Source organism: Homo sapiens, chromosome 1, assembly GCF_000001405.40.
Source record: "Homo sapiens chromosome 1, GRCh38.p14 Primary Assembly".
Taxonomy (NCBI): Eukaryota; Metazoa; Chordata; class Mammalia; order Primates; family Hominidae; genus Homo; species Homo sapiens.
Genome location: NC_000001.11, coordinates 75,159,268 through 75,177,482, shown reverse-complemented (window position 1 = coordinate 75,177,482; position 18,215 = coordinate 75,159,268). Strand labels below are relative to the sequence as shown.

General features: G+C 38.9%; 1 protein-coding gene across 5 annotated transcripts in view; it reads right to left on the bottom strand.

Moving 5' to 3' along the window:
* The window catches only part of LHX8 (LIM homeobox 8), a 71,021-nt gene that overhangs the window by 21,972 nt on the left and 30,834 nt on the right, over positions 1–18,215 (bottom strand). For 3 of the 5 annotated variants that reach the window (NM_001001933.1, NM_001256114.2, XM_047421040.1), the window contains one exon: positions 15,950–16,664. The exons of the other annotated variants lie outside the window; for them this stretch is intronic. In NM_001001933.1, coding sequence (NP_001001933.1) covers positions 16,588–16,664 — 77 coding nt within the window. In that variant the 3' untranslated portion in view covers positions 15,950–16,587. Of the gene's footprint in view, positions 1–15,949; positions 16,665–18,215 lie in introns of those variants that run through there. 5 annotated transcript variants of the gene reach the window in all.

Here is an 18,215-nt window from a genome sequence, read left to right as displayed (position 1 = left end):
AATAGACAAACAAAGAGCCAATTCACGAGTGAACTCCCATTCACAATTGCTGCAAAGAGAATAAAATACCTAGGAATCCAACTTACAAGGGATGTGAAGGACCTCTTCAAGGAGAACTACAAACCACTGATCAACGAAATAAAAGAAGACACAAACAAATGGAAGAACATTCCATGCTCATGGATAGGAAGAATCAATATCGTGAAAATGGCCATACTGCCCAAGGTAATTTACAGATTCAATGCCATCCCCATCAAGCTACCAATGACTTTCTTCACAGAATTGGAAAAAACTACTTTAAAGTTCATATGGAACCAAAAAAGAGCCCACATTGCCAAGACAATCCTAAGCCAAAAGAACAAAGCTGGAGGCATCACACTACCTGACTTCAAACTATACTACAAGGCTATAGTGATCAAAAAAGCATGGTACTGGTACCAAAACAGAGATATAGACCAATGGAACAGAACAGAGCTCTCAGAAATAACACCACACATCTACAACCATCTGATCTTTGACAAACCTGACAAAAACAAGAAATGGGGGAAGGATCCCCTATTTAATAAATGGTGCTAGGAAAACTGGCTAGCCATATGTAGAAAGCTGAAACTGGATCCCTTCCTTACACCTTATACAAAAATTAATTCAAGATGGATTAAAGACTTACATTTTAGACCTAAAAACCATAAAAACCCTAGAAGAAAACCTAGGCAATACCATTCGGGACATAGGCATGGGCGAGGACTTCATGACTAAAACACCAAAAGCAATGGCAACAAAAGCCAAAGTTTCAAATGGGATCTAATTAAACTAAAGAGCATCTGCACAGCAAAAGAAACTACCATCAGAGTGAACAGGCAACCTACAGAATGGGAGAAAATTTTTGCAATCTACCCGTCTGACAAAGGGCTAATATCCAGAATCTACAAAGAACTTACCCAAATTTACAAGAAAAAAATCAAAGGACCCCATCAAAAAGTGGGCAAAGGATATGAACAGACACTTCTCAAAAGAAGACATTTATGCAGCCAACAGACACATGAAAAAATGCTCATCATCACTGGCCATCAGAGAAATGCAAATCAAAACCACAATGAGATATTATCTCACACCAATTAGAATAGTGATCATTAAAAAGTCAGGAAACAATAGGTGCTGGAGAGGATGTGGAGATATAAGAATGTGTTTACCCTGTTGGTGGGAGTGTAAACTAGTTAAACCATTGTGGAAGACAGTGTGGTGATTCCTCAAGGGTCTAGAACTAGAAATAACATTTGACCCAGCCATCCCATTACTGGGTATATACCCAAAGGATTAGAAATCATGCTACTATAAAGACACATGCACATGTATGTTTATTGTGGCACTATTCACAATAGCAAAGACTTGGAACCCACCCAAATGTCCAGCAATGTTAGACTGAATTAAGAAAATGTGGCACATATACACCATGGAATACTATGCAGCCACAAAAAAGGATGAGTTCATGTCCTTTGTAGCTACATGGATGAAGCTGGAAACCATCATTCTAAGCAAACTATCACAAGGACAGAAAGCCAAACACTGCATGTTCTCACTCATTGGTGGTAACTAGACAATGAGAACACTTGGACACAGGGCAGGGAACATCACACACCAGGCCTGTTGGGGGATGATGGAATGGGGGAGGGATAGCATTAGGAGAAATACCTAATGTAAATGAAGAGTTATTGGGTGCAGCAAACCAACACAGAACATGTATACATATGTACCAAACCTGCACGTTGTGTACATGTATACCCTAGAACTTAAAGTATAATAAAAAATAAATAAAATAAAATAAAATAAAATAATCCCATCAAAAAGTGGGCTAAGGACATGAATATACAATTCTCAAAAGCAGAAATACAAATGGCCAAACTTAGGAAAAAATATTCAATATCACTAATTATCAGGGAAATGCAAATCAAATTCCACAATGCAATAACCTCTTACTCCTGCAAAAATGGTCATAATTAAAAAATCAAAAATAAACACATATTGTCATGGATATGGTGAAAAGGGAACACTTTCACCTGGATGGTGGGAATATGAACTAGTATAACCACTATGGAAAACAGTATGGAGACTCCTTTAAGAACTAAGAGTACATCTACCATTTGATCCAGCAATTCCGTTACTGGGCATCTTCCCAGTGAAAAAGAATTCATTACATGAAAAAGACATTTGCACACACATGTTTATAGCAGCACAATTTTGAATTGCAAAAATATGGAACCGGCCTTAATGCCCATCAAACAATGAGTGGATAAAGAAAATGTGATCTATACCATGGAATACTACTCAGCCCTAAAAAGGAATAAAATAATGACATTTGCTGCAACCTGGATGGACTTGGAGACCATTATTCTAAGTGCAGTAACTCAGGAATGCAAAACCAAACATCTTATGTTCTCACTCATAAGCAGGAGCTAAGCTATGAGGACGCAAAAGCGTAAGAATGATATAATAGAATTTGGGGACTCCAGGGAAGGGTAGGAGGGGGTGAGGGATAAAAACCACACATTGGGTACAGTGTACACTGCTCGAGTGATGGATGCACCAAAATCTCCGAAATCACCACTTTTTCATACAACCAAACATCACCTGTTTCCCCAAAATTATCAAAATAAAAATTTAAGAAATAAAAAATAAAAATAAAATGAAAAAAAAAGAAAACCAGGAATTGTGAAGATATATTCTATCTGCTACCATGCACTGTAGCACTTTATCATGTTCTACCTTGTATAATATGTTGCTGGGGTGGCTGGGGGAGTGTTTCTCTAGAGGAAATGTCATTTATTCTGAAACAGGAAATAGGATGGCTTTTGAGGCTGAAATTTCAGGGCTAAAGGGCAGAATTAGGGGAAGGAATTGGTTCTAGCCTCCAGAACTTGCAGACCTGTCTTGGGGCAATGGCTGTGGCGTGTGTGTGTGTGTGTATGCATGTGTGTCCACACACACTCACATGTAGTCATGAGTAAAATAGAGAAGCTATGGACCCCAGCATAAAAAAATTATTGAGAGCTGGAATTACAGGTGTAGGGAGGGACTATAGCTGAGTATATCCAGGGTGAGGATATCAGAAGAGAGGCATCCTCTTCTCTGTATCTGGAGAGCTTCCAGCTGGCAGGAACAGGGGCCTAATATCACCAAAGCCCTTCTTCAGCAGACAGGGGTTGTACCAGACTCCAGGATGGCCAGGATAGGGGGCAGGGTAGATGACCAAATTGCTAGGCTGCCAATGTTTCAGTAACACCATTCTTTTGGCACAAGAGCCAAATGAATCATGAGTGTCTCCAACAGAACTGAAAGTAATTTCTCTTTAGCACCAGAGTAATAAAGACCAACTCCTTGGACTAAGGAAGTACAGGTTGAACATCCCTTATCCAAAATGCTTGGGACAAGCAGCGTTTCAGATTTCTGACTTTTTTTTTTTCTTTTAGATTTTGGAATATTTGCATTGCCAAATCCAAAATCCAAAATGCTCCAAAGAGCATTTCCTTTGGTGCAAAAATGTTTCGGATTTTGGAGCATTTTGGATTTTGAATTTTCAGATTTGAGATGCTCAAACTGTATAGCTAGGATCCCAGAAGCTACCATGGTTGGAAAGAAGAAGTACACACTTGCAGTTAGGATGAGGTCTCCGAGTTATTTCATCAGACAATCAAAAAGATCAGTTTCTTTTTTAATTCCCTAACTCATGTAAATTAAGATGGTTTCTTGCTTACACCTTAGATTTTTGGAGATAGGATAGCATAATGATTAACAGTATATATCCTGGGCTGGGCACGGTGGCTCACGCCTGTAATCCCAGCATTTTGGGAGGCCGAGGCGGGCAGATCACGAGGTCACGAGATCGAGACCATCTTGGCTAACACGGTGAAATCCCGTCTCTACTAAAAATACAAAAAATTAGCTGGGCGTGGTGGTGGGCGCCTGAAGTCCCAGCTACTCGGGAGGCTGAGGCAGGAGAATGGCGTGAACCCGGAGGTGGAGCTTACAGTGAGTCGAGATCGTGCCACTGCACTCCAGCCTGGGCGACAGAACGAGATTCCGTCTCAAAAAAAAAAAAAAAAAAAAAAAAAAAGAGTATATATCCTGAAGCTAAACCACCTGGATTTAAATCCTGGCTCTGCCATTTACAAGCTTTGTGACCTGTGCTCAAGTCTCCTCAAACATGAAATAGGGATGGTAATAACTAACTTGTGGGATATAGGGAGGATTAAAGAAAGTTAACATGTGTAAGCTCTTAGCACAGTGCCTGACACATACCAAGTGTTCACTAAATGTCAGGTATTCATATTAATATTCTCTTGTTTCTTTTTCCTAGATATCTTGCCTACTCCAGTGGAAATGGAATCTCCCAAAAGACTCCCAGAACAGGTTGAGCATACTCACAATCAGCACTTAATGACAGAGCCCTTTCTTCAAAAGAAAGAGACTGAGCTGAAAAGAAACAGAATACCAGAATTCAGAGTTTGACATTAGGGTTTCCAGCTGAGAGTTATTTTAAGGTACAAGCAGGTAGTGTCATGAAGACTTGGGAGCAGTTCAGTATTCTCACAGAGAGACTCCACTGGCAAGCAAATCATTTAGCAGAGCCCAGGGTGTTCCTAGGAGATTCAGGCAGGGGGCCCAAACACGATTATTTTTGTTTCCATTTCTAAGGAAAAGCTGGAAGGGAGAGGAATTTGGATTGAGAAAGTAATATAAGGGGATTGGATAAGATGATCTCCAAAGACTGTTCCAGCATTCTGCAAGGCACTGAGTCTGTGAGCATGACTAAAAGAATGAAGATTTAAAAATATTCAAGGCAGGAGAATTCAGGCAGATGCTCAGGAAAATATGTCCCAACCAAATTCCTGCTGAACCTCAGAATATCCTGGTAAGGGAAATGATGTGAATTTCATACCCAGAATTATGGAAAATAAAATGAAACACATAAGGTTTGGGAAAAATCTTACACTGGCAGAGATATAAGCTTCTTATTCAGTCAGTCTTTCCTCATTTCACCATGGTTAGAAGTTATGTTGTGTCAAAGGAAGCTTCAAAAGACTTTTGATGGACAAATTCAACAGTGGCTACAATCAAATCTTCCCTATTCTCTTTTGAAATCTCCTATTTGGGCAATAGTTATTAGGCCTAGACTTACGAGGGCAAAATAATTCCTAAATTGTATTTAAATGTGACTGTTTAAAGATCTCAGGACTGGTATAGTGGTCTCATACATCTGTAAGAAGCAGTCCAAATAGTTGTGATATGAGTAGAGTGTGTGTGTTATAAGGTCATTAAATTAGGCTGTAAAATGCCATTTGATGAATAAGAATATTAAAATGGAATTGAAGTATTGTTGCAAGAGAGGAATTTTTGTGCTTCAAGAGATGAAAGATGGGGGAAGCTTTGGCAAGAACCAGGGATGAGACAAGCAGCTGCTGTGCAAATCTCTTTGCTATTATTCTACCAGCACATCCCTGAAGTTTCCAGGCCAGTATTTCTCGCCCTACACAAACACCAATCATTCTGCCAAGATGTTGGCTAAGCATTCAGTATAGGAGCTGTGCCACTCTATTCTGTCCATTAGCAAAGCCACAGACTTACCATGCTCCTTCTCCCTCTGCCATTCAGTCTTTAAGATGGCCATTGTTACCCTGTTTATCATTCCTTCTTTGGTGGAAAGAAGGGAAGGCAAGAGAAACTTTATAAGTCATCGTCTGAAACCTGGAACAGCAGCCCTCCTCTGGTGTTACCTTCCTGCTCACCCCAGCCTTCACCATCTTAACAGCATGGAACAGTTCAGTAGCATTTTTGTTATGGTTGCAGCTTGGTCAATCTTCTCTCGAGGCACAGAGAACATGCCTATTAGCACTGATTCACTTTATCCTCAGTTGTCAGCTTCTTTGGATAAGTGATTCTCATGTGAGAACAACCTCCTGCAACACCGAGTATATTGGGCCCTTCCCATTTTGGAAGAAGCATTTGCATCCATGCAGGTTAGCACACCAGGTAGAGAAAATATACTAAATAATAATAATAATAATAATAATAAAAATTTGGCCCCATCTCTTGGTCACTCAGTGACTCAGATTTCCTACCTTAAAACTAGGCTTAAGTCAGTATGTCTGTAACTAGCCAAAATGTCTGCATATTTGAAAAATATGTAGATGTTGGCTACCAAGTGTACTCACTCAAATGATTAACTCACATTTTGGCAACTGCATAATGCCAAATAACATTTTGGTAAAAGATTTCATGGAATTAAAAAAAAATCAACAAAAGGAATTTTGGTGTAAACAAAATAGATCTAATTATTCTAACTTTTTGACCTGCCAGGGCTGGTTAAGCTCTGAGCGTGCCTTAAGTTGGCTTGTTCCCAGGCCACCTGCCTCCCTCATTCTCAACTTTCACTGTATCATATGTGGTGAAAAAAGAAATTAAAGACCTGAGTTCAAATCCCAGCCCACCAGGTGAGTTATTTGGCCGTGCTGAGCCTCAATTGTATCATCTGTAAAGTGGGAATGATAATAATATACCATGCGGCAATGTTGTAAAGAGTAAATATAGTGTACTTTAAGCCCCCAGCTCACAGCAGACACTAGAAAAATAAACAGTAGATTAATGAGAGCAAATATGGTGTGAATTAGCAACTCCCTCCTACAGTCTCAGGGTTTCTCAAAGTGTGATCTCTGACCATCTGCTGCAAAATTCTTCCAGGAAGCTTAGGAGAGACAGAGACTTCTGATCCTTACCCCAGATGTGACAAATCAGAATCTCTGAGACTGACCATTTCTAATACCTCCCCAGTCTCCAGTTGACTCTTGAGTATCTTAAAATTTGAGAGCCACTGAATTACAGCCTGATTTAAAACTTATTATCCTTTTTAGTCATTGGTTTGTAAAGAAATAGATAGCTCATGTGTTTCAGTGATTTTTAAGCACTCTGCAGTTCCTGTGTCCCAAGGTCCACAGGTTCTCTTAACAATTAAATAATATGGTCAGTTTGGGAAAGCTTAAAAAGCTGATCAAAGTAGTTTATAGGGAAGCTGGCTTTGTGTTTGTTTTTGCTTTTGTTTTTGTCTTTTTTGCTTGACTTGCTGGCCAACTGAGCAACTGAGTGATTTTGTGCTATGATTTAGGCCCAGTGGGTGGCACTTACCTAACTCCCTGGGTTAAAGAGTTAATATTAAACAGAATTTTATATCACTTACTCATTTAGCTTGTTAAAATTTCAATTACCATACAAGGTGACTGGTCTAAAATCCACAGGTTCTTGTACTCGATAGTCCAAAAGAAATCGTAGCCCAGAAGCACTGAAGTCTTGAGTTTTCAGCTGAGCAGAGAAAAATGATTCAGCAGGCATGACAGTGTGGATTCATGTTAGCATAGAGGTAAGAATCCAAACAGCACATAGTGGCCATTTCTCTGGCAACATAGACCTGGGGTATCTGCTGAAAAGGAAAAAATGGAGCTGGCAGAGCTGGCATAGCTGGCAGGCTCCTAGAGTGTTCATCCAACAGTGGAACCAGGGTAGCACCATGAAGCCTGAAAAGTGAGCCAGTTTCACTGGCAAAGACCAGGAGTTCCCCCTCCACATTTGTGGTGCCTTTATTAAATGGGACCCACAGCTGAGTAGTGATATGGAGAACTTGGAGTAGGGCCACGAAAGGCAATCAAGATCAATCAGGCTTCTGGGGAATAAATTTTTCAAGGGCTTGGCCTTCTCCAGACCAGAGCAATGGAGCTGTGGGCTGGCAGAGTGAGTATGCAGGGGAAATCAACAGTTCATTGGGATGGCTCAGTGATAGTTTAAATATTTCTACTAAGAACATCAAAAGAAAGGGCTTGAGCTGAACTTCAGCAGAAATTGGGCTTGAAATTGGAGTACGGTTTGTGAGGGAAAGGGTTATCCTGTTCTAGGGAAAGCTCTAGAGCCCCTTTTCCACTTCAGAGCACCCACCCACCTCCACCGCCCACTCTCCTCATTCACACCTCACTTCAGTAGCCACCACTTCTTGACGTAGGGTTGACAATATGCCAAATACTGTGCTCAACTGCATTATATTTAATATCTCATTTAATCCTCAGGGTAACCCTGCAAAGTGGGTAGTGGTGTGCTCATTTACAGAAGAGAAACAGGCTCCGTGAGATTAAGCAACAAGGCCATGCAGCCAGAAAAATGGCAGAGTCAAGCTGTCTCATTCCAAATCTCATAAACACTACTTTATCCTGCCCACTTGCGTATAGCTTGGGAGGCCAGTGTGACTGGAAGCAAGAGAGCAAGTGAATGAGTAGGGGAGTAGGGGAGAGGGTAGGAGATGAAGGCAGAAAGTAATGGGGTGCATGGGTGTGAAGTGGCCACCCCATGAAAAGTGCCCTTCAAGGCCACAAAGGATGTTACATTTTCTTCTTAATATGAAGGAAAGCCACAGGGGGGGTTTCAACAGAAAAGTTCTAATTTAGGTTTTAAACACATCTTTTTGAACATATTTTAGGGGGAAAGGGGTGGAAGCCCGGAACAAGTTGTGTAGGTATTTTAATAGTCCAGGTGGGAGATGATGTTTTGCAGTAGGTAGGAATGGCAAAGATGTGGGGAAGCAGGTAAATTCTAGAGACATTTCAAGGGTAAAACAAGCAGCATATGATGAATTGGTAAGTGATATGCCCACGGTTACATAGGTAGTAAGAGGCTGGACTGGAATTGGAACCAGGCTCTAACTACTTGAAAGCAGACCCTGTGAGCTTTCCACAAACTACAGTGAGCTGTGGTCATAGCTTCTGAGAAAGGGATTTCAGAATTCCTGCACCTGAGGCCAGAACAGGAAAAGCTCCCAGTGTGTGAAACATATGACTGAGTTATGTGTTTCCTGTGCGTCCTCTCTCTTTAAAAAAAAAGAGGGGTTGACAGCAGATTATCCAGGACAAATTGAAAACAATGACCAGGCCAGGTGCAGTGGCTCACGCCTGTAATCCCAGCACTTTGGGAGGCTGAGGCAGGTGGATCATCTACGATCAGGAGCTCAAGACCAGCCTGGCAAACATGGTGAAACCCCATCTCTACTAAAAAACAATGTAAAAATTAGCCAAGTGTGGAGGTGGGTGCCTGTAATTCCAGCTACTTGGGAGGCTGAGGCAGGAGAGTAGTTTGAACCCAGGAGGCAGAGGTTGCAGTGAGCCGAGACCACACCATTGCACTCCAGCCTGGGCAACAAGAGTGAAACTCTGTCTAAAACAAACAAACAAACAGAAAACTATGACTAGATACCTATCCGACCATTCTGGCCCACTTTGAAGGCTAATGAAGCAAGGTGTGCTGATGGCCTAGACAGCTACTGCGGGCAGAGGAAAAAGAAAACTTTACATTTTAACCTATATTAGACAGAAAATGGGAGGAGCCATTCGAGAGAAATAAAAAGACTCTGCAGCCACATTTACACAGTAAAAGCCAAATGGAAGATTGAGCAATTACCCAGTAACTGCAGGCTGGGGAGTCAGCCAATTTGGGTAACTCAGATAAAAACATGTGTTTGGCTGCTTCTCTTGCCTGAATTACTCGATAATGACCCAACCTGTCTGTTTTGCTTAGTCGAAGAGAACAAGAAACAGTTCCATCTGAGGCAGAGAACTTCCATGGGCCATCGTGTAGCCCAGGCTGAGGAGTTGCTGGGGAAAGGCTGTCCCTGGGATCCTGGCATGGAGTAAATTAACCATGGCAAGAGACTGCTCTGTCAATGCCCTGTGCTAGCTCCTAGAAACCCTAACATGAATAGTCTAGGGTCTCTAGTCTAATCTTGAGACAAAACTGAGGAAGGAAAATTATAATAAAACTTATTAAAGTGTAGAGATATCCTTTGAGGAAATGATGGGAACACAAAGAACTCACCCACATTGGGGTGGGGTGTGGGGAACAATCAGGGCAGGCTTCCTGGAGGGGATGATATTTGAGCTTGGTCCTGGATGATGAGGAATTGTTAGTCAGGAAAAGAGAAATGGAGAAAGGAGAGGGAAAGCTAGTGAAAGATGGTGGCATTTTTTTTCCTCTGGTGTTAGGAGTTAGTTTACCAAGGAATAAATACAGATAACTTTCAGGGTTTATTGTGCACCAGATACTTTTCTAAGTACTTTATATGTACTATCTTATCACAGGGTCACAATAACCATTTGGGAAAAGTGCTATTATTAGTCCATTTTGCATATGAGAAAACTCTGGCACAGCGCAGTTTAATAACTTGCCCACAGTCACCATGGTGGGATGTGGCAAAACGAGGACTCCAGACAGCATGACGTGAAAGTTTTTGTGATACTTCTCCATGTTGTCTGTAATGTAGCTTCAGCCCTACTGCCATGCCATTCCTGCAGATGTCCATGACAGAGCAGAATAAACTAATGCTTCACAAAGGCCAGAAGTCCACTCTCAGATTAGAACACAAGCAGGCAAGTGACACACAGAGGCTGCAACTCTGCCTTTGCCCTGCCTGCTCCTGTGCCAGCTCAGCTCCACTTCGACACCTTATCCCCTGCCCTACATGAGCACTGCATGCTCCTCTGAGCCCATGAATTTCCTGTAGACTGTCTCATCGCCCTCATTCTATCCTAACAGGAGAGGAAGCCCATTATAGGATTGGATCCAAGTCTTTGTTAGAAGTTTCCCGATCCTTCTCCCACCTTGGTTCCATTGATGACCCTTTGCAAGTGCTAGGCTCTACTGTGGAGCCTGTCAAGCTAGTTTTGTTCACCAAGACTTCTGAGACATGTTTTTACCATTGTCATAAATGCACCATGCTGTCTTCTGAAAGACAAATGATGAACTAGGAAAATTGCATATGGTCTCGCTTGGAGGAGTTTCAACCAAAGATGAAATTTGTGGTTCAGAACCATGCTGGCAAAATAACAGACTTATTCCAATACATCTGAAAGAAATGAGCTAATAACTAGTAGTGGTTCTCTAGAGACATCACCCTGGTTCCGGGAAGTAAATATTTTGAAATTGAATTTGTAACAATGGTTTCCATTTTCAAATATGGCATCATAATTCCTTTGGGTTTAAGAAAATTATTTTGGAAAACATTCAAATCATTTCTGCAAACTAAATTTTACAGACTCTCTACATCCAAATCACAGAAGGTCACACCTCTACTTGACTGAATAATTCTTTAAGATCAAGAAGGGAGTTAATGTAGACAGGAAGTAGATGTTTTCCATTTGTAGGGAGGTTGGAGTAAAAACACTTTGCTGGAGAATGTGTAACTCATTAGCAGCATAGATGCTCCACCTCTGACTTTATTTAAAGAAATGCACAAAGTGCTTTGTTCCTGGGGTTGCCTGGGATAGGGCAGTGCTTGCCAAACTTCTGGTGCTCCATCACCTCCAACTGCCCGGCCTCAGAGTGCCTGATTTCCTGCCACTAACCCCGCCCTTCAAAATTAATGGATCATGTTTTTACCATGTCTTTTTTCCATTCATCTCACTTTTGCTTCATAAAAACTTTCCTTTTACTGTTGAGGAAATCAGCATGCAGGGAGGCTTAAGTGTCCTTGGGATACAGTTAATTGGTGTCAGAGAAAGTGTCAAAATCCAGCTGTCTCCCATTCCATGCTAAATGGTGTAAAAAGAATATAAATTGCCACAGGTATATAAGATATTTGCTAAAGGAAGGGTAGAATATTTTCCTTAAGGATTTGAAAAGATCTGTTTTGGAATTTGAAGTTATCCTAGGACGCTCAAACATAGAGTCTTATTCTGATTGTTTTTCTACCACCCTCATTCAATCCCTGAGTGCTTACTTGGTGGCAGGAACTGGGGAATGTAATGGAGAGCAAGACAGATGTTGTTTCTACCTCCCCAGGACCCCTTCTATTCTTTATTTCTTAACATCTTTTTTTCCTCCATTGATACCCCCATACAAGTGCCCATACACAGTCCATCCCTAAACTCCACTCTCAGCCCCCTAGCAAGTTCAGATCTTTGTGGTAAGTACTGTACTTGATGACAATTTAGAAAAGGAGAAGCAGTTCCTTGCAGTGGTTTTCACATCCTCTAAGCCTATGGCAGTCTATTTCTTATGAAACTCAAGGAACTGGGGGAAATTTGTTAATTTATTCTCCTAAGATCTCTATACATTTATAAAAATAATCTGGTGCCCTGGAGAATTCTTGCATATTAAAACCAAAGGCCTAATTATGTTAATTGAAGCTTCCTAAATTTCAATTCCCTCATCTGTTGAATGAGAGCATGATGATATACAGAAACGCATTTAAAAAGTATGAAGGACCATGTAATAAAGTTATCACCATAATCAGCAACAAAGAAAACAGAATATGATAGAGTGCCAGGTACTAAAGTAAAACATTTGATATCAAGTGAATGAAACCTCAGCTGAAAAAATCCTAATGAATGCTCACTTTAGTAATATATGCAGAATAACTAAAGGCAAAAAAAAGTCACAAAAGTGGCAGCTTGTGCTTAAATTTAGCCCCTTTATAAGATACTAGTTTTCGGCTGGACGTAGTGGCTCATGCCTATAATCTCAGCACTTTGGGAAGACAGGTGGGAGGACTGCTTGAACCCAGGAATTCGAGACCAGCCTGTGCGTCATATTATATAGCAAGACCTAGTCTCTACAAAAAAAAATTTGTGTGGTGTGTGGTGGCATGCATCTGTAGTTCTGGCTACTTGGGAAGATCACTTGTGCCCAGTAGTTGGAACACAGCGAGGCTCTGCCTGGAAAAAAAAAAAAAAAAAAGGATACTGGTTCTCCGAAATGCAAACTACAATTTTATATCAAGTAATAAATAAAGTTTTTTAAAATTGTATTTTTGAGTATAAGATTAAAAAATATTTATCAACTCCAATTTAGGCAGGACAGACAAGGGTTCCAAAAACACTTCAAACACTGCTGGTGGAGATGTAATTTAGTGCAACATTTGGTGGGAAATCAATGCATTTCAAGAGCCTTTTAAACCTATGCATGCACATCCATTCCACTTCCAAGAATTCACACTGGGGAAATAAGAATATACATTAAAAGGTAGCAGGTAGCCACAAAGATGCCTTCACAGTGTCATTTAAAATGGTAATAGTATAGCATAGTGGTTAAGATTATGGCATCTGGAATCACTGAGCTGCTAAATCCAAATACTGGCTTTGTTACTTGCCACCAAGATAGTGGACATATCAATTTTTTAATTTCTATGTTTGTAAAATAAGGGTGATAATAGAATCCATTTCATGAAGTTGCTGTGAATACATATCAAAATACCCCTGAGGCACTCAAACAGGACATCCTGAAAGTGCTCACAATGTTAGGCTCTATTCATAATAATAAAAAGTTAGATACAACCTATTTATCTAATAAAATTGTTTTATTCAAGCAGTGTAATACTATATGTTTTAGTCCATTCAGGCTGCTATAACAAAATATCAGACAGGGTAATTTATGAACAACAGAAATGTATTGGTCACAGTTCTGGAGGTAGTGAACAAGATCAAGGCACCAGCAGATTCTGTCTGGTGAGGACCCAGTCCTCATAGATGGCACCTGTGTGTCTTCACATGGCTGAAGGCCAAAGGGGCAAACAAGCCCCTTAGGTCTCTTTTATAAGGGCACTAATCCCATTTGCAAGGGTTCTTCCCTCATGACCTGGTTATCTTTCAAAAGCCCTACCTCTTAATACCACCACATTGCAGACTATGTTTTAATACAAGAAATTTGAGGGGACATAGTACTATATATCAATTAAAATGATATTGTAGGTAATATTTGACTTGTAAAGATATTTACTAAAGGGAAAATGTAGGCTACAAAATAGTACTTACTATCTGATTGAATCCAAGTAGATGTTTATGAGATGTCATCCAGTGTACCTGAACTTGTTTTGGACTCAGATCCATCTAAATATTTAGTTGTGTTTCAAAAGAGTAAAAATCATATAGTGCTAATATCAGTTTCTTTATCTCCTCCGGTAGGAGCCATTGAGAATTTTTCCTACACTAATATACTTTTGGTACTTAGTGTATTGCAACCTAAATTACTTCTGTTCTAAATAATAAAATAGAAACATTACTTTTGCTAACTGGTAAAGTCATCCATGCCATAACAAAAGTCCCAATATGCCACCTAGTTTAATCATGCTAGTAGAGTAATTATACACATAATATACCACATCAAGAAATACTACAGCTATCAGCTTTCAGATGACTGTAACAAATTTTAAAAGCATGAGCTGTGATTCTATCTAACAATGTTTATTATGGGATATTCAAAACAGGTGTACTTATAATTTACAACGAGTGATGTGGAATTTTAAAAATGACATTTGTCAAATGTAAAACTACTACTAAATACTACCTTGTCCAAATAAAAAGAATCACTTAAAGAGTATTGACTTAGTGTGACTTCCATTTCAATGTTTGAATGGGATTCTTGATTTGAATTGCAAAAAAAAAAAAAAGGTATCCTACCCTCTCACAGCTCATGAATGTCTTCACACCTAAGAGATAACTACTTGTTACCCACATCTTTGCTACTCCAACAATATAGAGTTTTCTTTCTCTAATCTTCACAAAAGCTGACCATACTCAATTTCAAGTAAGTATTGTGCTCACATACTTAAACACTGAATATTACTAGCATGGAAATACTTCAATTCTTTCCTAATATTAGGTTTTAAAAATAAGATCTCTGGCTAGAGATAGCAAAGTCAGAAGCTTCTATCACATATCATATTTTTAGTACTTTCACATCTATCTCTTTTCATGATTAACAGTTTTATATTCAGGATATATAAATCTCATCTATTTTGATAGCTTTGAGCCTCTTTGTTAGGAAGTTTTACTTCAACTTTGGGCATTCATCTTTGGAACTAAAAAGGGTGGTGATATATTTTTGTAAAAACTCTCTGTACAGAGTCAGAGGATGATGAGCACAGGAAAAAGACAGCAAATAAAAATGAATACTCACAATCAGCCACCTCCCAAGCTAAGGGATGCCAATTATAGTCAGCTGGGAAATGCTGTAAACTGCTAACAGTGCAGAGCTTGGCTATACTACAAAAGCTTTCCTAGACATCAGGTAAAGGTAAAGCTGACCTCATCACTTCATGCCTGGGACAGGTAGACAAAAACCCACAGAGATTAGCATCAGGCTCAAGATTAGATGGGTTGACTTCTGGCTACAAAGGGATTTAAAATAGAGTAGCCGGTTTAAAAAAAAAAAAATCCCTCCCCTTTCTCCCATAATGAAGCAGGTTTGTTGCTTCTGGTTTCAGGCAGATAAGTTACTTATATCCATATGATTACTTTCTGGTTGTATTTATGATTACTAGAATAAAATTACAAATACTCTGCTATTATTTCCAGTCCTCAGCCTGATGCAAATCTGCTCAGTTAAACACAGACTTAAACCTAAGTTCTAAAAGTTTTTTCTCATTACCTTTTTTCTTCCCCAACTGGCATATAAAAAGACAAAAAGTGAGTACTAAATTCTTTAAATTCAAAAATTTGTAAGTCCACTGCCACATAAGATAAAGTCCTGAGGTTTAAGATTTCAGCTCTCAGAATCACCATCCCTAAAGGGTATTCACCAAGAAGAAAATGCAAAGAGTTCTTGCTCTAGAAACTTTTAGTTCTCTTTTTTCACTCCTGAAGAAATATATTATGGCCCATATTTCATTTCTGGCTTGTAATACCCTCCGAAGTCCATTCTGAAAAGTGTTCTGCCTTCTCTTTCACATTGATTTTATTAGCTGGCCTAAAAGACAATTTTTGCCAAATTAAATGTTTTACTGTGTTTTTTTTTTTTGAATAATATGTTTCCTACTCAAATGTGTTCATACAATGCAGCTCAAAACACAATACTTTTTAAACTTATTAGTTGTTAGATTTTAAAGAGACTAAAGTCAACTTACTGCTGAAAACACACAAAAAGGACAAACTGGTTGAAATTTTCACAAGAATGGAAAATGTTTAATAAACTCAGAATGGTGGGCTTATTAAACTATAGTGTTATTTACAGCCATAATTCATCAACCACAAACACAATAATGTGTTTGCATGGCATGCTACAACAGAAGCTTTATTCAGTTCATTCAGAAAACATTGGCAAAATAAATTTCAGTTGCAAATTCACAGATACAAGCTTCAAAGTATAAAGTTGTATATAACAAAAAATACAGGTAATATTTATTACAATAACTTACAGATACAAACTAATGATAAACTACAATTTCACAAAAGATTGTAAACATTTTGCACACTTGTCAGTCCTTTCTTTTAGGCAAAGTGCTCTTTTGATGACAAATAAATTAACAGATACACACTAGAGTGAACTATTTCCAGACAATACAAAAAATGTTTTGATTTGTTTTCTTCTTGTAAACATAAGTTTTACAAAAAATGAAGAATTAATAAAAGTGTCTTGCAGGCCAACTATAGATACATACCTGGGCAGCAAAGTGATGTTGGAAATGCTTTAGGTGTTAAATAAAAAATTAACAGTAATATCTTTTCAATGGTATTTTATACATAATAAATGACAAATTTATATCCTTAATCAAGTCTATCCCTGAAAAAAGAATTAGGTATGACTTATTGGCAGTTGTGTCATTGAATGGGGTAACAAGGGCTGGAGTCCAAGAGTTGTTGGTGAATGAGCTACAAAATAGAAAGAAATTTGTGGATCAGTTTTGTAGGGTGCATAAAACTGATTTATAAACAAACAAAAACAATCCAAGGCATTGTTTTCATCACTCATTATAGCTGAGGGCACCAAGCTACACTCATTCCACTGACCTCAGCAGAAGCATTAACCTATTCAGCATAGTGAGAGTCCAGGAACAGTTTTACCCCCAAATCTTTATTTGGGGCCACAAGATTTTGCCATTTTAATGTCCTCCATCCATACCCCATTCACTGCACTTCACCCTGAAGCTAGAAAGACATGGGTTCCTCTTCAGAGATGCTGCTGCTAGCTTTCTCATGAAGGTGTTTGTATAGGATGATCTTCCCCAAGTTTCTTTCATTAATGTTTAATTACCTCCTCCCTAAGCATACATCAAAACACACTGGACTCAGGCAACACTACTGTGTTTCATGTGAACACACACAATTTTAATGCTAGTATAAGTAAATGGCAACAACAGTACAGGCTCTGATTTTTTATCTAACCAAAACTTAAAATGAAGTTTCTGCTTTCAGCAAGGGCTATGTTGCTTCAAACCAAACCTTTCTCTGAGACCAACTAGGAAATCTGGACAAAATTTTTAAAATCTGTTTGAAGGCATCTGAAAGACACTTAAGTAGTGAGGACTTACAAAGTCCCAGAGTGGAGGGAAAGAAAATGAGGATGCTTTTCCTCCCGCAAGGATAGTGACAATTTAAAACAAAACAAATGTCTGATAGGCCAAGAAGTTTAGCAGAGCATTCAGAAGTTAGACTTTGGCAGAGTGGTGAGAAACAAAAATTAAAGAGCAGGGCCCGCTGAAGAGGAGAAGCCCTAGTTAAAAACAACAACAGAAAACAAAACAAAACAGGGATTCATTTGTGATTCCAAAGGGCTAACTCCAAGGAGTAGTAAAACAAAAATATACCAGCCCTCTTAAGGATTTGTGCCTGATTGGATTAAGTTGATTTCACCCTATTCTGACTACCTGGGGGGTAAAACTAATCTTCTCTAGTGAAAGATATCATCCACAGCCTCAAATTATTTTTAGTTACTCATACCCAACATCTGAAATGCAATAGCAAATAAGAAGACAAATAACAAGACATGACTTGAAAGAAAATAAAGAGGAAAATTAAGAAAACAGAATAGACCCACCAAAGATCCAGATATTGGAGTTATCACACCTGAACTTTAGTATAACAATTTAAATAAGGATAAAGTGACAAAATGGATGATTTCAGCATATAAATGGAAATCTTAAAACTGAAAAACATAATAAATTAAGAAGTCGGTGGATGATTTTTTTACAGGATATTAGATATAGAGAGCATTAGTGAACTAGAAAAATAGTTCAGAAGAAAACAAGAAAATTTTTTCATAGGAGCAAAAACAATATTTGAGGAGGCAAAAGCTGAGAATTTTCCATAATGAAAGACATCAAACTACATATTCAAGAAGCACACCCAGGCACAGTATGGTAAAACTTTTTCAAGACAAACACAAAGAAAAAAGTTGAGGAAAAAAGACGTTTATTTTCGAAG